The sequence below is a fragment of the Homo sapiens genome, chromosome 2, assembly GCF_000001405.40.
Source record: "Homo sapiens chromosome 2, GRCh38.p14 Primary Assembly".
Classification (NCBI taxonomy): Eukaryota; Metazoa; Chordata; class Mammalia; order Primates; family Hominidae; genus Homo; species Homo sapiens.
In genome coordinates this window covers 151,354,631-151,381,728 of record NC_000002.12, presented here as the reverse complement: position 1 = coordinate 151,381,728, position 27,098 = coordinate 151,354,631, and the positions used below count along the sequence as shown (strand labels likewise).

At 38.6% G+C, this 27,098-nt stretch overlaps 1 protein-coding gene, 1 long non-coding RNA gene, 2 other non-coding genes and 1 pseudogene across 5 annotated transcripts in view, besides 1 other annotated feature; 2 read left to right on the top strand and 3 right to left on the bottom strand.

Annotated features, from left to right (window-relative positions):
- Positions 1 to 388: 388 nt before the first annotated feature.
- Positions 389 to 24,137, bottom strand: TNFAIP6 (TNF alpha induced protein 6). Of its 2 annotated transcripts, none has more exons than XM_047445635.1 (6): positions 23,969 to 24,137; positions 17,649 to 17,786; positions 15,512 to 15,673; positions 11,481 to 11,709; positions 8,140 to 8,180; positions 389 to 744 (listed from the first exon to the last, which is right to left on the bottom strand). In XM_047445635.1, the coding sequence occupies exons 1-6, from the start codon at positions 24,060 to 24,062 to the stop codon at positions 683 to 685; spliced, it is 726 nt and encodes a 241-aa protein (XP_047301591.1). In that variant the 5' UTR covers positions 24,063 to 24,137; the 3' UTR covers positions 389 to 682. The 2 variants fall into 2 exon arrangements, with proteins under 2 accessions (XP_047301591.1, NP_009046.2); NM_007115.4 differs by lacking the exon at positions 389 to 744 and adding an exon at positions 1,683 to 2,365.
- The window catches only part of LOC101929319 (uncharacterized), a 41,546-nt gene continuing 16,805 nt past the window's right edge, over positions 2,358 to 27,098 (top strand). Inside the window, exons 1-2 of the long non-coding RNA NR_110248.1 lie at positions 2,358 to 2,541; positions 8,813 to 8,934. This is a non-coding gene — a long non-coding RNA (uncharacterized LOC101929319). The remainder of the gene's footprint in view (positions 2,542 to 8,812; positions 8,935 to 27,098) is intronic.
- Positions 7,255 to 7,304: an enhancer, noted in NCBI's record as "active region_16636". NCBI's record gives its function as "activates an Ori minimal core promoter by ATAC-STARR-seq in GM12878 lymphoblastoid cells {active_cell/tissue: GM12878}" and the evidence as "EXISTENCE:reporter gene assay evidence [ECO:0000049][PMID:35858748]".
- RN7SL124P (RNA, 7SL, cytoplasmic 124, pseudogene) lies at positions 9,445 to 9,717 on the bottom strand (annotated as a pseudogene).
- Positions 13,318 to 13,395, bottom strand: MIR4773-1 (microRNA 4773-1). Its single transcript, NR_039931.1, has one exon. It is a non-coding gene; the product is annotated as a microRNA 4773-1 (primary transcript).
- On the top strand, positions 13,318 to 13,395 carry MIR4773-2 (microRNA 4773-2). Its single transcript, NR_039932.1, has one exon. It is a non-coding gene; the product is annotated as a microRNA 4773-2 (primary transcript).

Sequence of the window (27,098 nt, the reverse complement as noted above, 5' to 3'; positions counted from 1 at the left end):
ATGGCAATAGACCAAGTGGGGAGGCCCAGTAAGGCCTGTCTGTCTAGATTCTTCTTGGCCTCTCTGTGTAACACTCCTTCCTTCTGGGTGTGGGGCAGGACTCTTCTGGAATGAGGGTCTGCAAGGGAGAAGGAGGACAGAGAGACCTTTCTAGGTTTTATAGCGTGCTTTTTGGGAGAGGAGTCTGTAACTAGACTTGAGGAAGAGGAATTTTGGTTCTGGTTGCTTTTTTTTTTTTTTAAAGACAGGATCTCACTCTGTCTCCCAGACTGGAATGCAGTGATGCAATCATAGCTCCAGTGCAGCCTCAAACTCCTGGGCTCAAGTGATCCTCCCGCCTCTGCCCCCCAAGTAGCTGGGACTACAGACATGTGGCACTATGCCCAGATAATTTTTAATTTTTTAATTTAAAATTTTTTTCATAGAGATGAGGTCTTGCTATGTTGCCCAGCCTGGTTTTGAACTCCTGAGCTCAAGAGATCCTCTGCCTCGGCCTTCCAAAGTGATGGGATTACAGGAGTGAGCCACTGCGCCCGGTGAATTCTGGTTTTTATGACTTGCTTTGGAAGAGGAAGACTTGGGGCAAGAGGGAAGATGGAAGGAGAAGGTCACAGAGATCTTGCTTCTGAGGCCTTCCAGTCTCCTTTAGCTCAAAGTACTCAGTATCCCAAAGTGTCATACTTTAGGGTATCGTCTGAGTCCCAACATCCCTCATTACCGAGTAACAACTGTGTTTTTTTCTCCCTAAAAAGGTGAAGTGACAAAACAAAAATAAAATATAGATGAATACATGTCATATCTTATAATGGGAATTTTTATTCTCTTAAATAAAAGTTATAGGAGGTCATTGGTTTGGACTTAGCTTCTGCACCAGGCCAAAGAGACCAAACCAAAATGGAGTCACTCATGCTAAAGTTTCACACCACCAACCCGAAATTAGTTGTTTATCTGACCTTCCAAGAAACCAAGAGCCACAGAGAGATAATAGCCAAACCCTCAAACAGACCAGTTTTAGCTGGCATGATAAGGAAGTTGCCTCTGCTTTAACCTTTATAAGAAAAGTAACTTTGAAACAACCAGTCTGCTTTTTGTTTTCTGTTTCTGCTCTCCTCAGCCCTTTTATATCAATAAAACCAACGTCCTCTGCTCAGCTCATCAGAACACTCATTCTATTTTAAAAATGAGGTGCCTGATTCTAGAATTGCAAATAAAAGCCAATTAAGATCTTTAAACTAAATTTGTTGTCATTTTGTCTTTTGACAGTCCTAAACATAAATATGAGAAAAGAGACCTCAGCAAAATCAAGTATAATTGCAAATAAATTTTAACATTTGATATATTTTAAAGAACCATTAAAGTAAAAGACAAAATATAAACTAAAAATTAAATTACAGCATATATGACAAACATGGACATATATAATAATTTCTAACAAATCAATAGAGAAGATTATATCAGTTTTTAAAAATAGTGAAAAAAAGGCATGGAAAAATAATTCACAAAAAAAATTAACAAAAAATTATATAACCATCAATCTCATGAATAAAGAAATGCAAATTCAAACTACAGTGAGGCCTCATTTTTGCCTATCAAAACAGAAAATTTTATTTTAATTAACCTTTGATTCAGTAATTCTATTTCCAGGTCCTTGTCTTAAATAATTAGAGAGGTGCACAAATATGTGTGTTCAAGGATATTTATTGCAACAATATTTATGAAAATGACCTGAAATTCCAACAATAGAGACAGGCTTAAATAATGCATAAAACATTCATATCATAGAATATTTTACAGCTGTTTAAAATCATGTTTTTGTAGAATAATCAATGATTTCAGAAAATGTTTATAAAGTTCAAGATTTAAAAAGTATAATACAAAACTGTACATAGAGCAGGATTCCAAAATTTCAAATGCAAATACATATAGGTACATATATACATATACCACAAATAGAAAAATGACTGAAAGAAAAAAATATGAAAATGTTAACGCTTGTTATTTCTATGCAGTGGGATTATGAGAGGTTTCATTTTCTCGTTTAAAGTTTCCTATATTTTCCAATTTTCCCTAAATTATGTATTGCTTTCACATTTAGAAAAATAATAAATAAATGTTAATAATAACAGTGAGATCAAAGGAGTTCCAAAAGATTCCAACATAAACACTGTGTGTTTTGATCATCCTTTTTTTTTTTTTTATAAGTGGCTAAATCTTCCAGCTAAAAAGTTTTTATTTCCAGTAGAAGTAGTACTTGTATTTTTTCCTTGACTGGATTTGGATACAGGATCCATTGCAACATATTTGATTTGGAAACCTCCAGCTGTCACTGAAGCATCACTTAGAAACTTCAAGGTCATGACATTTCCTGTTGCGGGGAAGGAGGCAAAAGAACAAAGATGTTACTCTCCTTTGATTTGGCTGACAATTCAAAGACTCTTCATTCTCATAGGAGAATATAAGAATTCATGAACAAGATTCCCAGAATTCAGAGGTCGATTCTCAAGCTGAAGAGTCTGTGGTTTCATTGCCGCATGGAACAGGGTGAGAGACGTTTGTATTTTTTCCTTTGGTCCTCCAATCTATCCTACAGGAAATTTTGTCTATTGTATTTATTTATTTATTTTTGAGATGGAGTCTCACTCACTCTGTTGCCCAGGCTGGAGTGCTGTGGCGCGATCTCGGCTCACCGCAACCTCCGCCTCCCGGGCTCAAGCGATTCTCCTGCCTCAGCCTCCCGAGTAGCTGGGATTAAAGGCACGCACCACCACACCTGGCAGATTTTTTTGTATTTTTACTAGAGACGGGGTTTCACCATGTTGGCCAGGCTGGTCTCAAACTCCCGACCTCAGGTGGTCCACGCACCTCGGCCTTCCCAAGTGTTGGGATTACAGGCGTGAGCCACCGAGTTGGCCTCTCTCTTGTATTTAAAAGGTACTCTTGGGCTGGGCCTGGTGGGTCACGCCTGTAATCCCAGCACTTTGGGAGGTCGAGGTGGGCAGATCACCTGAGGTCGAGAGTTCCATACCAGCCTGACCAACATGGTGAATCCCCGTCTCTATTAAAAATACAAAAAATCAGCCGGGCTTGGTGGCGTGTGCCTGTAATCCCAGCTCCTCGGGAGGCTGAGGCAGGAGAATCCTTGAACCCGGGAGGCGGAGGTTGCAGTGAGCCAAGATTCTGCCATTGCACTCCAGCCTGGGCAACAAGAGCAAAACTCCGTCTCAAAAAAAAAAAAAAGAAGATACTCTTTGTAGAAGGAACATCCACAGAATTACAGGAGAATGGCAGGGCAGGTCAAACCAGCGATGGGTGGATGAGTTATTTACTAAATGATGTCAGAGCAACAAGTTTCACATTTATTAGAAATGAAGCTAGATTCCTACTTTACACAGAGTACCTAAACACATTTTACCGTAATATAAAGACCAAAATGTGCTAAATAAAAAGGAAAAACTTTATTATATAACATAAAATATAGGAATATTTATATCTTTTTCAAAAAGGAGGCAAAGGCCTTCTTTTTGTTTGTTTTTGGAGACAGGATCTCACTATGTTGCCCAGGCTGGTCTCAAGCTCCTGTGCTCAAGTGATCCTTCTACCCCAGCTTCCCAAAATGTTGGGGTCACAGGCATGAGCTGCAAATATATATAAACAAAAGCAGAGTATATACATTCCTAATGCTTGCTTTTATCTATTAACTCATTTAACCCCCACAACAACACTGCGAGGTGAGGGGGATACTTTTTAAATATTCATTTTACAGATAAGAAACTGAGGCACAGAGTGACTACTAAGTAGCTTGCCCAAAGCCACAGAACTAAATGGGCAGAGTCAGGTTTGAGCACAGGCAGTCTGGTTTCCGAGTTCATGCTCTGATTCTCAGACTGCTATTTTCTCATATTTGGAAGATTTGCCTAAATATAAAAAAAAAATTTTGCACGAGACAGACTGAGAGAAAATAGGGTTAATATCTCTAATATACAAAGAAATAAAAAAGAGAAAGACAAAAGCGCCAAAGAATATGCAAGAAATATAAATTCATAGGCAATTCATAGGTGTTCAAAGGGCTAATAGACATTTAAAAATGTGTTCAAAAACACTACCAAAAATTCAACTTAGATTATTAATGATACTTTTTTGCTCTTCTATTGTGAGAGAATTCAGAGAATATTCAGCTGGTTAAAATGTAAATTGGTTAGGTATGAGTCGACAGGCCTTATTAAAAAACAAACAAACAAACAAACAAACAAACACAAAAATGGCCGGGCACGGTGGCTCACGCCTGTAATCCTAGCACTTTGGGAGGCCGAGGCGGGTGGATCATGAGGTCAGAAGATTGAGAGCATCCTGGCTAACACAGTGAAACCCTGTCTCTACTAAAAATACAAAAAATTAGCCAGGCGTGGTGGCGGGTGCCTGTAGTCCCAGCTACTTGGGAGGCTGAGGCAGGAGAATGGCGTGAACCCGGGAGGCGGAGCTTGCAGTGAGCCGAGATCCTGCCACTGCACTCCAGCCTGGGCGACAGAGCGAGACTCACTCTCAAAAAAAAAGAAAAGAAAAGAAAAGAAAAGAAAATGTAAATTGGGAGTCAGCCAGGCAAGGTGGTTTATGCCTGAAATCCCAGCACTTTGGGAGGCTGAGGCAGGAGGACAGCTTGAATTCAGGACTTCAGGACCAGCCTAGGCAACATAGCAAAACCCCATCTCTACTAAAAATAAAAAATAAAAATTAGCCTTGTGCGGGAAAATCACTTGAGCCTAGGAGTTTGAGGCTGTAGTGAGCTGTGATGGCGCCCTTGCACTCCAGCCTGGGTGACAGAACAAGACCCTGTCTCAAAAAAAACAAAAAAAAAAAAAAAAAAAAGAAAAGAAAAAGAAATGTAAATTGGCACTGTAGGAATCTATTTTTTTTTAAAGTAGAATTACTGAGTAAAGACAGAGGTTTTAAAATGTTCATTGAAACGTTGAATAACAAAAGAAAAAAATCAGAATCAAATGCCTCAGAATGTTAAATATTAGTACATGACAAATTACAGTATATCCATACAGTGACCTATTAGGCAGTCATGAAAAAGAATTTGAATGATCTAAATATCATACTCTGACATGGAAATATGTCCATAGTTTCCACATATATAATGTTTGTATAATAGAAAAACATCTGGAAGGATGGTCACTACAGAGTTATCAAATGCCTTTCTGGGATGGAGAGGTGAGGAGAGTAGGCACATCCTTACTTTTATATCTCTTATTAATGTGGTAGGATTATGGACAATTTCAGGTTCTTTCTTTCTTTTTTTTTTTTTTTTTTGAGACAGAATATCACTCTGTCTCCCAGGCTGGAGAGCAGTGGCATGATCATGGCTCACTACAGCCTTGACCTCCCTGGACTGAGGTGATCCTCCTACCTCAGCCTCCCGAGTAGCTGGGACTACAGGTACGCATCAGGATGCCTGGCTAACTTTGTATTTTTAAATTTTTTTTGAAAGGGAATCTTACTTTGTTGCCCAGGCTAGCGTGCAGTGGAGCCATCTCAGCTAACTACAACCTCTGCCTCTCAGGTTCAAGTGATTTTCCTGCCTCAGCCTCCTGAGTAACTGGGATTACAGGCACGTGCCACCACACCGGGCTAATTTTTTGTGTTTTTAGTAAAGATGGGGTTTCACCATATTGGCCAGGCTGTCTTGAACTCCTGATCTTAAGTGATCCACCCGCCTTGGCCTCACAAAATGCTAGAATTACAGGTATGAGCCACTGTGCCCGGCTGACTTCTGTATTTTTTTGTAGAGACAGGGTTGCATCATGTTGCCCAGGCTGGTCCCAAACTCCTGAGGCTCACGCCTCTCACCTTGGCCTCCCAAAGTGCTAGGATTATAGGCACGAGCTACCATGCTTGGCCAATGTCTTTATTTTCTATTTTTGTTTTGTAATCTATACCCTGGGTTGAGTAAGCGTATATTTAAAAAGAAAACCAGATCAAAATGTTAATAGTATTATGCTTGATAGGATTTTTTTTTTTTTTGAGATGGGGTCTTGCTCTGTCACCCAGGCTGGAGTGCAGTGGCACAATCTCAGCTCACTGCAACCTCTGCCTCCCAGGTTCAAGCGATTCTCCTGCCTCAGCCTCCCAAGTGGCTGGGACTACAGGCGTGTGCCACTGCACCTGGCCAATTTTTTGTATTTTTAGTAGAGACGGAGTTTCACCGTGTTAGCCAGGATGGTCTCGATCTCTTGACCTGGTGATCCGCCCACCTCATCCTCCCAATGTGCTGGGATTACAGGCGTAAGCCACCACACCAGGCCTATGCTTGATAGGATTTTATGTTAACTGTATCTTATATCTTCTTTTTCTATTACTTTGTATCAATGTCCTCTTCCTGATTTTTTGCTAAATCTTTGGCTTTTTTGTTTTAACTATATTCTTTTCTGTTTCTTGATTTGTTTCTCTTTGAATGATAAATTGTGTGGGTTTTTTTTTTCCCAGTTTCTTGAAGTTGTGCCAATAAAACCCCACCACTGATTTGATTACATTTGGAGTAAGTTGTCTACTTTAGAGAAAAAAGGAAAATGTAAAATTTCAGACTTTTTTTTTTTTTTTTTTTTTGAGACGGAGTTTTGCTCTTGTTGCTCAGGCTGGAGTGCAATGGCGCTATCTTGGCTCACCACAACCTCTGCCTCCCGGGTTCAAGCAATTCTCCTGCCTCAGCCTCCCAAGTAGCTGGGATTACAGGCATGTGCCTCCACGCCTGGCTAATTTTGTATTTCTGGTAGAGACGGTGTTTCTCCATGTTGGTCAGGCTGGTCTCGAACTCCTGACCTCAGGTGATCGGCCTGCCTTGGCCTCCCAAAGTGCTGGGATTACAGACGTGAGCCACGGCACCTGGCCTAGGCTTCTTTTTAACTTCTTTGTTTAATAGGATTCTCATCCCCCAACTACCTCCTACAGCAATAAGATGTTTTCTTTCAACTTTCTGTTAATATAAAATATATTTTCAAGAAAGGAATGAGAGATAAGTAAACGGTTTAATTTAATAGGTTATCTTTCTTAAGGGAGTTTGTAACAGAATAATGAACTAACAAGGTTTAAGCATTAATCATTCGATAACAGAGCAGGAAGTTCCATCTGTTACAGTTATGACGAATAAATTAGAATTGAGTCACTGAAAGGCTGGGGTGTGGGAGTAAGTTAACTAGTAGTATCTGAGTACTTAGAAATTGCAACTCAATGTAGTTTTGTTGTTTATAGTTGCAGAAGTACTGTGATAGTTTTATGACTTGGGAGAAAATAGAGCACTTAAAAATGCCAGCTGCTGGTGCTGGTGATGGAAATAAAATAAAATACTGAATACATGTAAGAAAGGAAGTTTTTAGCCAGAAAATAGCAGTATGGGATAAATTAAAGAGTGATATTGCATATTGAGATAAATTTATGCGACTACAGGGCATTTCTTGAGGTACATTTCTTGGAACAAAGTCACAGAAAATAATGGGGGGGTGGGCAATATTTGGAAAGCACTACCTATTATATCTGGTCTTTTCAGATTTACTACACATGATTAGCATATTAAAAGATCCCTGCTGTCTTCCAGTGAAGAAACCTGTTTGATATTGTTTAACCCAACGTTTTCCAAATTTATTTGACCTTAGAGCCCTCTTCTCATGTAACATCTATTTAAATCTCACAGAACTTTGTTATTTGAAACATTCTCTGGAGAATATTGTACTAAGATAAAAATGTAATGAATATGATGTAAGATTGTTTTAGTGACAAAGATTTTTAATGACTTTATAAATGACTTCAACCCTTTATCAATGAAAAATTTCAGCCATTTTATTAGCACATTTATGGAAATCATAAACTATAGCAATATTTGTGGATTTGCAGATTCAAGACTCTCAGATACATTACATTTTCAGCAAAGAAGAGTTTATACATTTTTTAGTGCAAGCAGTTGGCATAAATCTTTAATTTTTTTTTTTTTTTTGCATTTTACAACCTAGCAAGCTGCATCTGGTGTTGGTTCTTTCAACTTTAAAAAGTGAATAATAACTACTATTTACTATTTAACAGTGTCCCTTTACTTTCAGGGACACTGTAAAGAAACAAATCATAGTTTTGGTCCTCAATTTAAAACCTTACCTGTACTGATGATGTCATCTGGAAGCTCATCTCCACAGTATCTGAAAAGGAATTTTTAGAAAAGAGATGTCACACAAATGAATATTATACAGCTAGTAAAGTGGCTGTTACTGATAATTAAGCCTCTAAGTAATAGCTCATTGTTCCATAATTTTTAAAATTTCTATTGTTATTTTACCTGGATTTGTAAGAGAGAGTAGGAGTTAAAACAAAGTTTGTTATTTGAAATAATCTTCTTACAATATTGATGATATTTTATTTTATTTTATTTTATTTAGATGGAGTCTTGCTCTGTCGCTCAGGCTGGAGTGCAGTGGCGCAGTCTCGGCTCACCGCAACCTCTTCCTCCTGGGTTCAAGCGATTCTCCTGCCTCAGCCTCCCAAGTAACTGAGATTACAGGCATGCACCACACCTGGCTAATTTTTGTACTTTTAGTAAAGATGGGGTTTCACCATGTTGGCCAGGCTGGTCTTGAACTCCTGGCTTCAGGTGATCCTCCCGCCTCAGCTTCTCAAAGTGTTGGGATTACAGGTGTGAGCCACCGCACCCAGCCAATGAGATTTTAAAGGAAAGATATGTGTGGCATTTTTACTTTGTGTAACTAGAAAATTTTGTGCAGCAGATAATTTGAATCTATTTGGAAAAATTAAAATTTTCTTTCTTTTTTTTCAGATGGAGTCTCGGTCTATAGCCCGGGCTGGAGTACAATGGCACAATCTCAGCTCACTGCAACCTCTGCCTCCTGGGTTCAAGTGATTCTCCTGCCTCAGGCTCCCGAGTAGCTGGGATTACAGGTATGTGCCACCACACCCTACTAATTTTTGTATTTTTAGTAGACACAGGGTTTTGCCATGTTGGCCAGGCTGGTCGCAAACTCCTGACCTCAGGTGATCCAACTGCCTCGGCCTCCCAAAGTGCTAGGATTACGGGCATAAGCCACTGTGTCCAGCCTTAAAAATTTATTTCTAATTAATTTTATAAAGTTTTCTTCACAGTTGTAGAAGAATGGGCATATGCTTGGTGATATTAATATTTTGAATTCTAGGATAGACTGATTTAAATCTGGAAAAATTATTTTGGACCTTATAGGTGTAAAAGGATTTGATTTTTATCTGAATCATGACTTGAAAGGAACCCTTTTACACATATAAAAAGGTAAGGGTTTTACAGGTTTCTAAATATGTAATTTATTCTAGAGGAAAAGTCTAAATTTACCTAAAGGGTAAATTATATAATATAAATCCAAGAAATAACAAATTAGCCTGTTCAAACCTCCTAAAGACAGTAGTTTATTATTTTATATAAGATAGGATGTTGCTGTATTGCCCAGGCTGAAATACAATGTTTATTCATAGGCTCCTTCCCAATTCTCAGCACGGGAGTTTTAATCTGCTTGTTTCTGACCTGGGCAGGTTCACCCCTCCTTAGGCAACCTGGTGGTACCCTACTCCTGAGAGGTCATCATATTGATGCTGCTCTTAGTGTGGACACCCCACCAGCATAGCGCACTGTAGCCCAGAACTACTGGGCTCAAGTGCTCATCCTGCCTCAGCTTCCAAAGTAGCTGGGACCACAGGTGTGCCTGCCTGTACTTTGTTCTTAATTCCCCAACTCTACTTTGTGTCTTCATCAAACTATTTTTATAAACTATCTTTTCTCTATAGCAGTAGTCTGTCAGCTAAAGAAGAAAACAAGGCCAGGTGCGGTGGCTCACACCTGTAATCCCAGCACTTTAGAAGGCTGAGGCGGGTGGATCACCTGAAGTCAGGAGTTTGAGACCAGCCTGGCCAACATGGTGAAACCCCACCTCTACTAAAAATACAAAAATTAGCCAGGTGTAGTGGTAGGCGCCTGTAATCCCAGCTACTCGGGATGCTGGGGCAGGAGAATTGCTGGAACATGGGAGGCAGAGGTTGCAGTGAGCCGAGATTGTGCCACTGCACTCCAGCCTGGTGACAGAGTGAGACTCCGTCTCAAAAAAAAGAAAAAAAAAAAGAAAAAAAGATGTAGAAAGAAGAAAACAAAACAAAAAATATTTTCCCTTAAAAAACTCTTCATTTTTGCAAGAAATGCCTTTGGTTTTCTTTGTATTTAAATTACACATTCAAAATCAACATAAAAAGGGATTGAGTTTGTCATTTTTAAATTGTCCCCATTACAATTTTTTCCCCATTAAATTACTATCATGTATAATAGAGAATTGAAAACTGATAGTCTATTGATAATTGATAGTCTAAAATATGGGTTATTAGGTGGGGACCTGAATATATAAAATACCTAATTGTACACTCTTTAATTTGCAATATATCATAAGACACTCAAAATTCAAAGTATATTAAAGATTTGGAGTGTGAAGGAAAAGGTTGTGTTCTAGCATGTTGAAAAGCCAAAGGAAAAATATTAAAGAGAGAAAGGGTTAAACTTTGCTTATTTACCTTACTTCCATAATACTTAGCACAATGCTTTGTAGGAAGAAGAAAGGCAACAATTACTGAATTTATAATCTTTTTTTTTTTTTGAGACAGAGTCTTGCTCTGTCACCCAGGCTAGAGTGCAGTGGTGCAGTCTTGGCTCACTGCAACCTCCACCTCCCGGGTTCAAGTGATTCTCCTGCCTCAGCCTCCTGAGTAGCTGGGATTACAGGCGCCTGCCACCACGCCCGGCTAATTTTTGTATTTTTAGTAAAAACAGGGTTTTGCCATGTTGGCCAGGCTGGTCTTGAACTCCTGACCTCAGGTAATCCACCCACCTTGGCCTCCCAAAGTGGTGTGGATTACAGGCGTGAGACACCGTGCCCGGCCCTATAATCATTTTTAAGGTTGTAAGAAATTAGAACTTAAAAACCTGAACAATTTTTGCAACTCACATATCTTTCTTCCTCCTATTGTTAGTCAGATCTTGAGGTGTTTATAACATAGACTAACTAGTTCTTACAACTTAGCCATAATCCAAAGGCAGCTCTCACTACTTTAATAAGTATGTTATAGTCAGATCTTGAGGTGTTTATAAAATAGACTAACTATTTCTTACAACTTAGCCATAATCAAAAGGCAGCTCTCACTACTTTAATAAGTATGTTGTAGTCAGATCTTGAGGTGTTTATAAAATAGACTAACTAGTTCTTACAACTTAGCCATAATCAAAAGGCACTCTCACTGCTTTAATAAGTATGTTGTAGCAGCCAGCTAAGAAAAATCTTTGTTGAAAAATGATATGGTGCTTTAGGAGAGTAGAACTATTCCAAAATCAATATTATAGGGACAGTTGAGGGAAAATTAAAGAAGCATCAAACAAAATACTGGACGTTCATTTAACTTCCTGTATGGGGACCCATACGTACCTTCCCACAAAGCCATGGACATCATCGTAACTGTCATATATTTCAACATAATCAGCCAAGCAACCTGGGTCATCTTCAAGGTCAAAATCTAAAAAACTCAGGTGAATACGCTGACCATACTTGAGTCTAATGTGCCAGTAGCAGATTTGGTTATCTTCGTACTCATTTGGGAAGCCTGGAGATTTAAAAATTTGCTTTGGATCTGTAAAGACGCCACCACACTCCTTTGCTGAAATGAGAAGAAAAAAAACGTAAAAACCCCAAAGCATTAGGAAAAACATTATCCCTGTTAAAAATGACATTTCTTAGCAATCTATTACTTTTTATGAAATGTTAAATGTCTTAGTATACAGCATCTATGGTATATTATGTATGCTTTTAGCTAAAGAATAAATGTATTTTTTCATCAATAGTTACTAAATTCTCTAAAATGAACATGGACTCTTTGTGAATTTATTTTTATTTTTATATTTTGAGACAAGATCTCGCTCTGTCACCTAGGCTGGAGTGCGGTGACCCAATCATAGCTTATTGCAGCCTTGAACTCCTTGGCTCAAGCAATCCTCCCACTTCAGCCTCCTAAGTAGTTGGGATGACAGGCATGTGCCACCCAGCCCTGGTAATTTTTATTTTTTTTGTGTGGAAATGGATCTTGCAATGTTGCCCAGGCTGGTATTGAACTCCTGACCTCAAGTGAGCCTCCTGCCTCTGCCTCTGAAAGTGCTGAGATTATAAACATGAGCCACTGTGCCCAGCCATGAATTTTAAAAAAGTAAATATAGTAAGAAAAAAATGGCTAGGTGTAGTGATGCTCACCCTTAGTCCCAGCTAATTGGGAGGCTGAGGCAGAAGAATCTCATGAGCCTAGGAGTTTGAGGCCAACCTGGGCAACATAGTGAGACCTCCAGCTCTAAAAAATAAAAATAAAAATAAATTTTAAAATTAAAAGAATTGTAATGTAATTAATTGTACTTTTAAAAATATTTTTATTTTATCTTTTAAGGCATAACATAACAAGTCTTTTGTGCACACGCCTATTTTTTGTTGTTGTTGTTTTTTGAAATGGAGTCTCACTCTGTTGCCCAGGCTGGAGTGCAGTGGCACAATCTCGGCTCACTGTAGCCTCTGCAATTGTTCAAGAAATTCTTATGCCTCAGCCTTCTGAGTAGCTGGGATTACAGGCATGAGCCACCACGTCTGGCTAATTTTTGTATTTTTAGTAGAGATAGGGTCTTGCCATGTGGGCCAGGTTGGACTTGAACTCCTGACCTCTGGTGATCGACCCACCTCAGCTTCCCAAAGTGTTGGGATTATAGGTGTGAGCCATGGCACCTGGCCTATGTCTATGTATTTTGACAAATATATACACATTTATATTACAAACAGCCCTATCAAGATGGTAGGGACTTTGCCCTGTGGTGTCACCATATGTCTTCAGGGCCACAAGCACTTAGAATAATGGATCCCATAAATTCTGCTTGGAAAATCATTATACAATTTCATGATCGCAAGAGACTTTAAAGTCACTCTAATCCACTTAAAAGGAATAATTTATAATTATTCTGTATACTGCCTTTACTGATTTTAAACTAATACCCTAATCCTAATATTTTAAGATTTGATGGAGATATTCATGTTTGTTTTTCCAAGTCATTCATCATTTAACAGATTTCAATATGTTATAAATTGTCATAAGAAAAACAAACACATATAAAACAAAACAAAAACGCTGTCTCAGAATCAGTGGTTTGCAATATGACCTAGAGGGAAAGCTAGGAAGAAGCCCTGGTTAATTTTAATTCCATATCAGGTAAGTGTCTAATGTCTAGAAAAAAGATGCTCCCCAGCCTTTCTATGCTCCTGTTCTGCTTTGATGAAATAAAGCAGAACAGGAGCATAGAAAGGCTGGGGAGCAACAAATGAAGGTCAAGGATCTAGTTCAAGCTTGGTGACTACTCTACACTTCATTTTCTTCATTGGTAAAATAAATGTAGCCATACCTTTCCCATTATCTATCACACAGGGTTATTCTAAGGATAAAATACAGAAAATAATTTAAGGATGTTATGCAACCCATAAGCTATTCTTACTGTATAATAAAATATACAACACATAGTTTGTATGTCTGCATAAGGATGTACATTGCCAGCTTTAGGAGCGAGTTGTTCCATCCCATAGCATCCAATCTTTGTTGTATATATTAATAGATTAGAAAAAATTCAAATATTGAACTAATTTGGCTGCCTATTTGGCTATATTTATTTAGATCTATATTTTATGTTATATCTAGTTACTGCCTCATCTATTATTTAGAATATCAGCTCTAACTTGGTGACATTGATTAATCAATAATGATTGCTTTATTTTTGTGAAGCCATTATTTTTTTTTTTTATTCCAGTGATGTTTCAGTGAGCTGTTCCCCCAGTGCTAGTTCAGGCGGTCAAGTCTCCTTCAAGTTAACCACATCCTAAATAGTCAGCATACCACCAAATCCAAAAGCGAGCTAAATGCACTGAGAATTGGGTAAAAACAAATCTCCCAGGATTCTGTATTCCCAGAGTGTATTCAGCCTCTCTGAGAAAAGAAAGCAACTTATAATAATTTATAATTTAGGATTATATTCTTATGAAAGGGCAATGAAATACTGAAAGGACCATTTCATTGGCACTTCTTCAATGACTCTAGAGTTTAATCTATGGAAATTATCCAGTGGAAGCTCAGAGATCCTAAAGTTTATCAAGTGAAAGAAGAATCAGAGAATACATTTGAAAAGAAGAGTTACTCTTAAGAGTAAAAAAGAGTGGTCTGCATAAATATATTTAAGAAAATGTAAGAGAGGGAGGGAGGAAAGGAAGATACATATTGTTGACATAACTAAATATAGGACTAAATTAGTACTGTATAGTATAGGACTAAATAAGCTTAAAGCATGTCAAAGTGACTTGAAAGTTAAAGTTACATAAATGCACTGTTAAGTATTTATTCCTATTTTGTCTCAGTTAAGACTAGTTGTAGCTGTAGGCAAAAATCTTTCTACTTGGACTACACATAATTTTGAGATATAGGTTAGTTACAGACATGAGAAACTATTCTCCAAATGTTAATATAATTAAATAATAGATTTTATAATAATACACTAAAACCTCACTATGTAACTCTCCTACTGTGTTATGGAATTTCTTATAGGGTAAATCCAAATGGGACACATCTGAGGATGTTTATGATCCTAAATGCCAGGAAGACTTTGTAACATACTGTAATATTTTGTAACATTGTCCTGGTGGAAATATACCCAAAAAGAACAGCCTACTTTTTCTCCAAGAACGTGACCTAAGAATAATTCTTTATAGTAATTATGAGTTAATTTTCTCATTATTTCCTAGTTGCAAGCAAACATGGAAAAAATATGAATAAAAATATATGGTATAATGATAGCTAGTATATACAGTATATAATTGTTAAACCATAGAATTAGAGTTGCTTAGTTTGGAAGTACTAGCATATATACACAAAAAGAAATTAAGGAAAGAATTTATTTGTTTACTTTGTCTCCTTTTCCCCGTTGTATCAAAAGGACAATTTTGAATAGTTACCATTTGGTAGCATCACTTTATTGTTTTAGCTAATTTACTGTGACAAGTTTTTAATCTGCTTTTTTATTTTCTTTTTCTTTATGGCTGGGAAGTTCCCTGGCACAGAGAAGATCTGAATTCTCAGTCCCATCTGCCTAATCATTATTGACTCCTGATTTGGGGTTACTTAATTCTCTAAGTTTCAATTTCCTGATTTCTAAAATAGGTATAACAATAGCTCCTTGAAGAATTATTGTGAATATTAAGTTAGAGTGTAGACGAAGGAACACAACTCAATGTCGGGTATAGTATAAGCACTTTATGAATTGTAGTTATTAGTAGTAGTTATTATTACCAAAATCAATTATTTCTGGAAAAAGTAGCCATTTCTTTTTTAACAACCTCTTAGCAGCATGGAACTGTTTTTGCAAAACATAAAATTATTATTTTTAACACACCGTGTGGGTTGTAGCAATAGGCATCCCATCTTTCACTCCTATTGAGACGGATTCCATAATCAATAATGCCAGTTTTTCCAAATCCACAGTTGGGCCCTGGCTTCACAATGGGGTATCCAACTCTGCCCTTAGCCATCCATCCAGCAGCACAGACATGAAATCCTGCAAGAAGAAAAAGAGTTATGGACTAAACAGGTAAACTGTCTTGGCTAAGCAAAAGTCATCTTAGCAAAGATAGCCACTTCCAATAGTAAGTTTCTTAACTGGTCAAATCCAGTTCATGTAAAAGGGAGAAAATTGCTTCCTTAATTAGACAAAGTGTGAATACACATGAAATATAACTTCTGATTTTTATTGGAAAACTACCTCTTACTTGAAAAAAATGCAAATGGACTACAAATTATTGTGGGTATGAAACTAATCCAAGTTCAGAGCTGGCTTCTTTTCACAAATGACGTATGGAATGCCATGAGACAATTTCTGAAATTATCAATTTTGAAAAAATATTTTCAAGTGGTAATTTAATTTCTATTTTAGGATCAATTAAGATATTTGTAATATCTTATTTATCTATTTTTTGAGACAGAGTGTCACTCTGTCACCCAGGCTGGAGTGGGGTGGTGCAATCTTGGCTCACTCCAACCTCCGCCTCCTGGGTTCAAGCAATTCTCCTGCCTCAGCCTCCTGAATAGCTGGGCTTACAGGCATGCACCACCATGCCCAGCTAATTTTTGTATTTTTAGTAGAGATGGGGTTTCTCCATGTTGGCCAGACTGGTCTCAAACCCCTGACCTCAAGTGATCTGCCCACCTCACCCTTCCGAAGTGCTAGGATTACAGGCATGAACCACCACGCCTGGCCTATTTATTTATTTAGAGACATGGTCTTGCTCTGTCATCCAGGCTAGAGTGCAGTGGCATGAACACAGCTCACTGCAGCCTCCACCTCCTGGGTTCAAGCAATCCTCTCACCTCAGTCTTTAGAGTAGCTGTGACCACAGGTGTGCATCACCACACCTGGCTAATTTTTTAATTTTTTTTGTAGAGATGAGGTTTCGCTATGTTGCCTAGGCTGGTCTTGAACTCCTGAGCTCAAGCAGTCCAAAGTGCTGGGATTACAGGTGTGAACCACTGCACCCTATCAGATATTCATAATGTTTTAGAAGATTTGAATAAAGATAAATTCTCTCATACATTTCAAACAAAGGCTCAGCCCTGTTTCCTTTGCTCAGCCTCAGAGGCTGTTTTAGTATCTGTCAATGCCACCAAGAGCAATTTTACTAGAGGTCCAGGATGGCCAGTAAAGACTATGGGCTTTGTCTCTTCCACTCCAGTTACTATGCCCCATGCCGCCCCCTGATTACAGACCAGCAGTCATCTGGGGAGGCTTTGGGGCATTTGAGAAAACACTCTTATTTTTTTTCTTGAGTAATGTATCAACTTTGCCGGATGTTATCCAGTCAGCAAAGGAGTTCTGAATGGGGGTGGCCCATTCTCCCCAAAGGCCAAGAGAGATGGTAGCAATCCACTTTTGTATAAAGAAGCATGTAACACCAGTTGATTGCTGGGATTTTCACCAGGTCTTCTGATACCATCTTCCCAGTTTCTTTCTGCTTCTATCTCACGACCTTCCTGTCCTCCTTTTCCTTATAGCTTTTGATCCTGAAGTACAAATACATTCTCCCACTTAATGGAAAAAAATTGGGGAAAAAAGCCACTAAATTCAATATTTCTCTACCAAGTAAATTTCCTTGTAAGACTCAATATAGTACTATAGCATCATTTAACAGCCACCATACTGAGAAGTCAAAGAGATAGAACAATACTAAAAAGAATAGCAATGGCATTGAAATTAATGAGAAATTTAAATAATATTGAAATAATGAGGTTTTCATTTTCTTTTGACTTGTATTTTATTAGGTCACACTGGGTTAAGACTCCACATAAGTTGGTGGTACTAGGAACTGTCTGCCAACTCTAGGCAGATGGATAGGAGAAGTCAGAGAGCAGAAATGTCCTAGGGGCTTAGTGATATATCAGAAGGGGGTTGGAGAAAGAAGTCTTACTAGGGCTTAGGAAAGATGGATTTTTTTCCTCCAAGGATAAAAAAGAAGAAAAATCATTGTGAAATCAGTTACCAATTTTTCTGGCTGCCTCTAGCTGCTTGTAAGTTGCGAGATGGCCGCCTTCAAATTCACACACCGCCTTAGCTTCTGCGTAGGTGAGCTTGTATTTGCCAGACCGTGCTTCTCTGTGGTACACACCGGCTGCTCGTTCTGCAAAATCAGATGATGTCATAAAAGCACTGTTGTTCCTTCTTACGGAACAGGGGAAATTCTGTGGCCTCAGCTGGAAGATTACAACAGCTATTGTTCCTGCCAAAGGGCTTTCTGGGTTGGCTGCCTTGGGTAGCTAAGTTTTCACTGTTAGGAAACTTTGGGGAAAAATCTGAATGAGGGGGAATTTTAGGGGAATTTGGGGCCATAAACAGAAACTTTAGGCTAAATTATGTTTTTTTGTTTGTTTGGTTGGTTGGTTTTTGTTTTGTTTTGTTTTTTTGAGACGGAGTCTCTCTGTCTCCCAGGCTGGAGTGCAGTGGCGCGATCTCAGCTCACTGCAAGCTCCGCCTCCCGGGTTCACACCATTCTCCTGCCTCAGCCTCCCGAATAGCTGGGACTACAGGTGCCCGCCATCACGCCTGGCTAATTTTTTTTTTTTTTTTTAAAGTAGCGACAGGGTTTCACCGTGTTAGCCAGGATGGTCTTGATCTCCTGACCTCGTGATCCACCCGCCTCGGCCTCCCAAAGTGCTGGGATTACAGCCATGAGCCACTGGGCCTGGCCTAAATTGTGTTTTTGATCGATAGCCTGAAATAAAGTTTTCATTTTTTTTAATTTTGTATTTTTATTTTGTGAGACGGAGTCTCACTCTGTCGCCCAGGCTGGTGCAATCTGGGCTCACTGCAATCTCCGCCTCCTGGGTTCAAGCGATTCTCCTGCCTCAGCCTTCCGAGTAGCTGGGATTACAGGCATGTGCCACCACAATCAGCTAATTTTTGTATTTTTAGTAGAGACGAGGTTTCATCATGTTGGCTAGGCTAGTCTTGAACTCCTGACCTCAAGTGATCCACCTGCCTCGGCCTCCCAAAGTGTTAGGATTACAGACGTGAGACTCCGTGTCCGGCCTAAAATAAAGTTTTTAATACAACATTGTATTGCAACACTATCCACAGGTGATAAAGTTTTGGCTTTCTGTTGGATTTAAGCTATATAAAAACGTGCAAAGGTAAGCAATAGGGGAAAGAAAAGGAGGTGAAGGCAAAAGAAACTAGTGAAGATGGATCCATTATGTAGGCTCACAATGACGTAGAAAAATAAGCTAAAATATCCAATTGAGGGCAATGACTAATGCAATATAATTAAGAATTTAGGCCGGGCGTGGTGGCTCACGCCTATAATCCCAACACTTCGGGAGGCCGAGGCGGGCGGATCACGAGGTCAGGAGATCTAGACCATCCTGGCTAACACGGTGAAACCCTGTCTCTATTAAAAATACAAAAAATTAGCCAGGCGTGGTGGCAGGCACCTGTAGTCCCAGCTACTCGGGAGGCTGAGGCAGGAGAATGACATGAACCCGGGAGGCGGAGCTTGCAGTGAGCCGAGATTGCGCCACTGCACTCCAGCCTGGGCGACAGTGAGACTCTGTCTCAAAAAAAAAAAAAAAAAAAAAAAAAAAAAAGAATTTAGTAAGACAAATAAAAACTGAGGAAAGATCTGAAGGGATCCAAAGCAAATACTAAATTAGGGAAAAGAAAAATAGATTCAAACACAGCAGAGAAAAAACTGGACACACCTAACTACCAGTTAATGCCTCAATTTTTTATCTGATTTGTCTTTTTTAGTTCACATATTTTTCCCAACATATTTTAGGCAGTGTTAAGTCATACATGAGTTGTCTTCCAATAGATCACTGTTTAAATGGATTGTTTTGAGTTTGGAGTCCCTTCTACCATAGAAACAATGTGAAAAGATTCCCAGGACAATAGTCATAACATTAGCTCTGTAGTTAGCTCTAATAGTTCTATGTAGTCTGACATTATGGTTAAGTCTCTGTATTCTGACCTGTGCAATCAGCCACCCTTAGGACCATTTGCAGTGAGGACATACATATTTCTTGGCACCAAGAAATGAATCCAGGAGAATTAGAAATATAGTTCTTTGTTTTCCACCCCAAACTGAAGTTGACATTGCCACAGCTCAATAAGAGAGGGTGCTTGTTTTTCTGAACTCCAAGGATCCTGCTCTTATACATTACATAGTAAATCCCATTACTCACACACAGAGGACCTTAGTCAATCTGATGCTCGAGGTCAGAGAATACCAGGAACATCAGTCAAGTTGTTTCTCTATTGAAAGATGCCTGCTGCCCAGTGTCCTTCATACGGCAAAGCCTCATTAAACTTTTGCTAGTTTTCAATTTAGTTACTTTGAACATCATACCACGGGGTATTTTGCTAGGTGCTGTGGGTCAGGTTCTATCCTCAAGGAACTTGGACACTAGTGAATATTTTGAATTTCTTTATCTTGAAATAGAGGAACACTAAAGCTTTTGGTAGAGACAGGAGGCCTGTTTAGCTTACTTACGTATTATAATAGAGATTGTTGTTAATCATTAAAAATGTTAAAAATTATATTTCCTAAGAATACAGATTAAAAGACCTGTATTTGAAAACAAATTTTGTAAAAATTATTTTAATGTATACAAAGTTTTCTCAAACTGATTTTCTTCATATTTTATTTCAAAATTAAAATGTGATGTATACGGAAAAAATGAACGGAGATTTGGCCGGGCATGGTAGCTCATGCCTATAATTCCAGCACTTTGGGAGGCTGAGGCGGGTGGATCACCTGAGGTTAGAAGTTCCAGACCAGCCTGGCCAACATGGTGAAACCCCATCTCTATTAAAAATACAAAAGATTAGCCGGGTGTGGTGGTGCACGCCTGTAGTCCCAGCTACTTGGAAGGCTGAGGCAGGAGAATTGCTTGAACCAGGGAGGCAGAGTTGCAGTGAGCAGAGATCATGCCACAACACCCCAGCCTGGGCGACAGAGTGAGACTCCATCTCAAAAAACAAAAAAACCAAACCAAAACAAAACAAAAAAATTAACAGATTTAAAAAAATAATAATTTTAAGTTTTCCTCCAAGTAATTTTTCATTTTTTAAAAATCTTTTATTTTAAATTCGGGGGTACATGTGCAGGTTTGTTACATAGGTAAACTCACATCACAGGGGTTTGCTGTACAGATTATTTCATCACCCAGGAATTAAACCCAGTACCTCTGTTCCTCTCCCTTCTCCCACCCTCAGTAATTTTTCTTAAACTTTTGGTACCTACTGAAACTTGTCTAGTAATAACATAATAACAGAAATAGCAAAAAATTTTTGTTATAATTTCTGATTTAATTTATTAAATATTAACATTCCACATTGTTCCTCTAATAGCGCCAAACTTCCCAGTATGTTGCCATATGAACAAATAGAGAACTCTTGGAGTATGTACCTGACAATTTTAAATAAGGTGTTTTATTAAAAATATTTCTCAATTCAGAATTTTGAGCTATTAAGATGGACCTTTGTACAATGAATCCTAATTTTACCTTTCAGAAGCAATAATATTTTATTAATTTATCTAGTCAATAGTCATTTATTAAAACTGAAAATTTGTTTAATAAATGTTTTCTCCTTTTAGTGAGTGGCGGCAGTAGAAATGGACTTTGGTTCCACTGCTGTTTCTACCATGGAGTTGTATAACCAGATGAGCCTCAGTTTCCTCATTTGTCAAATGGGACTAATGATAGCTTCTGGACCATAGAAGGAACTCAAGATACGTCACTTTTCCTTTCTTTCTTTTTTTTTCTCTGAGACAAGGTCTCACTCTGTCACCCAGGCTTGAGTGCAGTGGTGAGGTCACGGCTCACTGCAACGTCTGCCTCTTGGGCTCAAGTGATCCTTCCACTTCAGCCTCCTGAGTAGCTAGGACTACAGGCATGCACCACCACACCCAGTTAATTGTGTTTTTTTTGGTAGAGACAGAGTTTCTCTATGTTGCCCAGGCTGGTCTTTTTAATTCCTGGGGTCAAGCAATCTGCCCACCTCAGACTCCCACAGTGCTAGGATTACAGGTGTGAACCACTGCATCCCACCTTCCTTTCCCTTCTTTTTCAGATTCAACAATAAAAATAATTGCTTATCTGTGCATTTTTTATTCTCATGATCCATGTAAAATGATTGTAATTTCTTGTCCTTAACTGTGGTTTGTTTTTGTTTTAAGTACTATTTTAAAAATTAGATGATACCAGAGTTAAAATAAGCCTTAGGGATCCTTTACTTCAACCTTATCATTTTACCAGATTGGAACCATAACCTAGAGAATTTAAAGTAAACTTGTCCAACTTGCGGCCTGCCAGGACGGCTTTGAATGTGGCCCAACACAAATTTGTAAACTTTCTTAAAACATTATGAGTTCCCTGGGCCAGGTGCGGTGGCTCACGCCTATAATCCCAGCACTTTGGGAGGCCAAGGTGGGCGGATCACGAGGTCAGGAGATTGAGACCACCCTGGCTAACATGGTGAAACTCTGTCTCTACTAAAAATACAAAAAATTAGCCAGGCGTGGTGGCGGGTGCCTGTAGTCCCAGCTACTTGGGAGGCTGAGGCAGGAGAATGGCGTGAACCTGGGAGGCGGAGCTTGGAGTGAGCCGAGATGGTGCCACTGCACTCCAGCGTGGGCAACAGAGCGAGACTCTGCCTCAAAAAAAAAAAAAAAAAAAATTATGAGTTGCCCAAGACAATTCTTCTTCCAATGTGGCCCAGGGAAGGCAAAAGATGGGACACCCTAGATTTAAAGTGTCCTGTTCTTGATAGTTGCTAACAGATGTATCCCTTCTAATCCAACTATCTTTCCTTCCTAAATGGTTTCTAAAAAGATTATATTGATCCAACCAACTATAAACATCTGTGCTAGGCTGGCTGGTCAAAAATTTGCCCCAGATTGAAGCAATTTGCAATTATCCTGACCCTCAGATTTGTAGCATACATTAATAGACGTTTGAATTTGCTTCTCTCTACCTCTGGGGCAAAACTTCTATTGTCCAGGTTTATATTTTTGTAACATATGACAACACTTTAAAAGACAACTCTAAATTACTTGATTATTAGAGGGTTTGATAATATTTCAAAGTTTATCTGCCTGGATTTAATTCTTACTAGCTTTATGACATTTAAAAAAAATCCTGACAAATATGAGTGTATTTCCTATATTTGACTGTATTCAACTAAAATAAAGAGATGGGCTCATTCCTCTACTAAATTTCAGATCCCGTCTTGGCCAAATGGATCACAGTGAAATTAGTTCACTGGCTCAAGCTGAAAAAAATAGGCGGCAAGGCTGTGCATTACAAATTAGGCTTTTTAATGAAATCCGCATGGTTGCAGTTATTACCAGAGAGAAACATGCTGAAAGGGAAAATATTCTACAACTGTGCTGTTTAGAAAGCATAAAATCAAAATCTAGGTTAATTTCGCCTTCTCTTTATTTCTTTATTCTATGCAAGAATCTATGCATTTTTCCCCAAGAAATTCAATTTTTTTTTACTATTAAACACAATAATGAACATAGAGCAATATCAATTTGTATCATGAGAATTAAAGCATTGTTTAGCATACTGTAATCTAAGGGGTGTTTTGGATTTTCTGCATTTTCCTTTTTTGATCTATTGTTTATCTTCACTGTTTGGCCTGTCTCATTCCTTACATTTAACAAAACAAAATAACAAAAGAAACTTTCCTTGTCTAACAAAAGGGTCAGAAAAGTATTTATATGGATAGTAGAAACAGAAAGAATCAAAGTGGTAAGAATGCATTCAGAAGGAGAAACATTTTTCACTTTTTTCTGTACTGCAAGCTGGCTTGGTCAAAATAGTCAAAATGTTTGAAAAAACTAAGATATAGACTATAGCTCAGAGTCCATGAAGCAATTATTATAAAATTTTCGTAGACTCCAATTTACCTGTTAGGATTCTGAAATCTGATTGCAAATGCATTGACATAAAAACAGAAGACTATATTGGAGTTTCTAGTTGGTTAAAGAAATACTCCTCACTGTACTACTACATCTGCTTTGAAAAGTTTAAAAATATATTTTCATACTGAATATAAATATTAACTGCTATTTTCTACTGAACAATTCACTTTATAAAATGCTATTTTTAAATTTTAGAGGACAAGAACGCTTAAAAAAAAAAAAGCGTATGTATTCCAAAGGCTATCTTTCCTAAGCATTTTCTTTGAGAACATCAGCCTTGTACAGAATAGAAAAAGTTACTGCTTTAAATTTCCTTCTCCATGATTTAAAGAATTGACATTCTCAACAAGAGGCTCATGAGTGAAGGTTCTTACCAAGCCATATGGAGTTATGAAAAATTCCATCCTTGAATCCCCATCCTTGAGTGTCTTCCCATAGCAAGAGAAATAAGTAAATTAAGATGATCATATCGTCAGTTGTAGTGAAGTAACAGCCTGTTAGGGGCTGCTCACAAATTCTCAGAGCAGTGGCTGAAATGTGACTGAAACATCTGGTTTCCACATCTTTTAAATAGTTTTTTTCAACTGTGAGGTCAGCAAGTACTCTCCAATGGCATTTTCCGCTGTAGAGTTACACAATTATCTCAGTGTCTGAAGCAAATCCTCTGACTCATTTGCATTGGCAACCAAAACTAAGGAGATAGAATGATCATCTATGTTTTAAAATTAACTTACTAAGAACGGAGTTCATTTATTGTTAGTCACAAACACTTTTCTGTTAGAAAGTTTGTGTAACTTGATGCAGATTTAGCAGTGATTAAAAGAAAATCGAACTTCAGTAGGAATTTCAAGATAAATCCTAAATGTCTTATTTGCAGTGTCAATTATGGGATATGGGGTTAAACACTAATCTTTTATTGGTAATGTTGGACTGGCTTTTCTAAACATTGTCAAGCCTGTGTAAAAAATTTAAAACAAAAAGTATGCACAGCTTGGAGAATCCTAATTTTTCTCCAGTGATATATGACTTCCTTATTCTCTGCCTGCTTTTCTTCCAGGGTGGGGTCTGTTGCAGTCTTTGGTGTGTTATGGTCAGCAGCTAAATAAATGTATCAGCTCCCAGAAAAGTATTTCAATTTCAGAGCGTCAGGATGTTCCAGCAGCTTTGGGATGTCCTATTATAACACAGTTTTCCCAGGCCACAAATTCTTGAAGTGTTGGGAGAAAGGTGGGTAGACTAACAAAGTTAATAAAAACTTGTCCCTAGCTTCCCTAGACCACTCTAACTTTGAAGAAGACGATCAAGGTAATAGATAATAATTATTACAGTAAAGTCATCATGTCTTCAAATATCCCAAACTTTCCTCTTCCTTTGTGTAGAATCCTTGGGTAACATATCTGATAATACTCCCACTACCGCTGATGCTAATGGCATTTCCTATTGTTCATTGATAGCCATTTATTGGCAACTTTTGATTTTTTTACAAAATTGGTCATTTTTTGCTACTTAGATTCTCTACTTTTGGTCTCAAATTGCTTCCCATTCACTCCTATTATAGCATTCATTTCTCCCATGCTTTCTTAGTCCCTCCAATGATGTTGGAGTTCTTTGAAAAAGCCAACTTGCTAGACATGCTCTGGTTTGAAGTTAGCTTTGAATCCCTTAGACATCTTTGCTTTGAACATCTCAGGTGTGTTCTGGTCTCATCTCTTCTCAAAAGAGCAGTTATGGGGATGTAGGCTGAGAGTACAGAATTTATTGGATGCTCACTGAGGTATACATAAAGTTACTAGCATTGAAAATCTTTATTTTGGACTGGTGGCACATGAAAGATGAGGGAATTGTATCCAAGTTCACAGATAGGGTTAGTGAATTTAAGTTTGTTGCAAAAGAGAAAGGTATAGTTTAGACCAGGTGGGTGTGACTATGGAGAAGACAGGCATGGTTACTGAGAGCAAGATTCATAGGTAGTTGGAAGGAATAAACCATGATATTTCTTTGGAAAGTATAATTATATGCGTATTTTAAGTTTGTGGTTTAGGAAGTAAATATAACTTTAGTTGTGCAGTGCTACAGCAAAACCTTCCCATAGTCTTTCCAATTCTTTTCTTGTCACATCCTCCAGCTGTGCCCTTTCTGCATCTCTCTCAAGCACCTAATTTCCCCCTAGTTCTCATTTATCAAAAATTACTCTCAGGAAAGGGTTTGCAATTAATCTTTAGTTAGGCCAGATAACTAAGAACAGATACCCTTCTGTGTTCATTTGCATTTTAATGAAGCTCCAAGTAGAGCGAAGTGTGAATGTTCAACTTCTTTTAACACGAAAATTTAATGAGTTGCTTTGATGAATTAACCCGATCTGGGGTGGAGGATTTCTTTCTCCCCTCTCCCAACTCTCATGCAGAATATAAATATTTCCCCTTACCTCTGCATAGTGTCTGAAAATCTCATCCTCCATATCATCAAGGAAATAGAGAATAATGCCTAATGATGTAAGTTCTGATTTTGAGGGGCATTCAATAAAGGAAAGAGGAAATGGGGTTTTCATATGGAAAAGATGCAGAGGGTAATCCTGAGGACGAGAGAGAAGAAAAGAGAGAGTAGCAAAGGAAATGTTGCCTATGAACTTACCTTGGAAGTTGTCTAAGAAGCACCCTCTGCCCAGCCTCCAGCACACACCACCCAGGATAAGCCTCATGAGGAGCTGAGAGAAGATACACTGATAAAAGTTCCTTTCAGGCCGGATGCAGTGGCTCATGCCTGTAATTCCAACACTTTGGGAGGTCGAGGCAGGAGGATCACGAGGTCAGGAGTTTGAGACCAGCCAGACCAATATGGTGAAACCCCGTCTCTACTAAAAATACAAAAATTAACTGGGTGTGGTGGCTTGCTTCTGTAATCCCAGCTACTCAGGAGGCTGAGGCAGGAGAATCGCTTGAACCCGGGAGGCGGAAGTTACAGTGAGCCAAGATCGCGCCACGGCACTCCAGCCTGGGTGCCAGAGCCAGACTCCATCTTAAAAAAAGAAAAAAAAAGTTCCTTTCAAGGTTCTGGAAGACTTAACCAGTCAAGTATTTTGCCTTCTCAGAGGAATGCCCTCCCCTTCCACTATCTCTGGGTCAAGATGTGCAGTGGCTCCTTTCGCACATATCACCACTAGCTGAAAACCCAGCAAGACTGCTTTTTGTAGAGGAGTTCCTGTTTTGGTTGCTTTTCTACAATGTTCCAATGCCCGTAAGCCTAAGCAGCTATTAGATACCTAAAGGCATGGTGGAGAGAACTCCATATCTGAATTGGGATAGGGCTGCACTGAACAAGCTTAAGATCTCTTAAGCTGCCACGATAGTTAATGATGTCACTATTGCACAAAGTTAACTGAAAAAATGAGACACTAGCCAGTGTGGTGGTGTGTGCTTGCAGTCCCAGCTATTCAGGAGGCTGAGGCAGGAGGATCACTTGAGCCTAGGAGTTGGAGGCTTCAGTGAACTATGATCATATCACTAC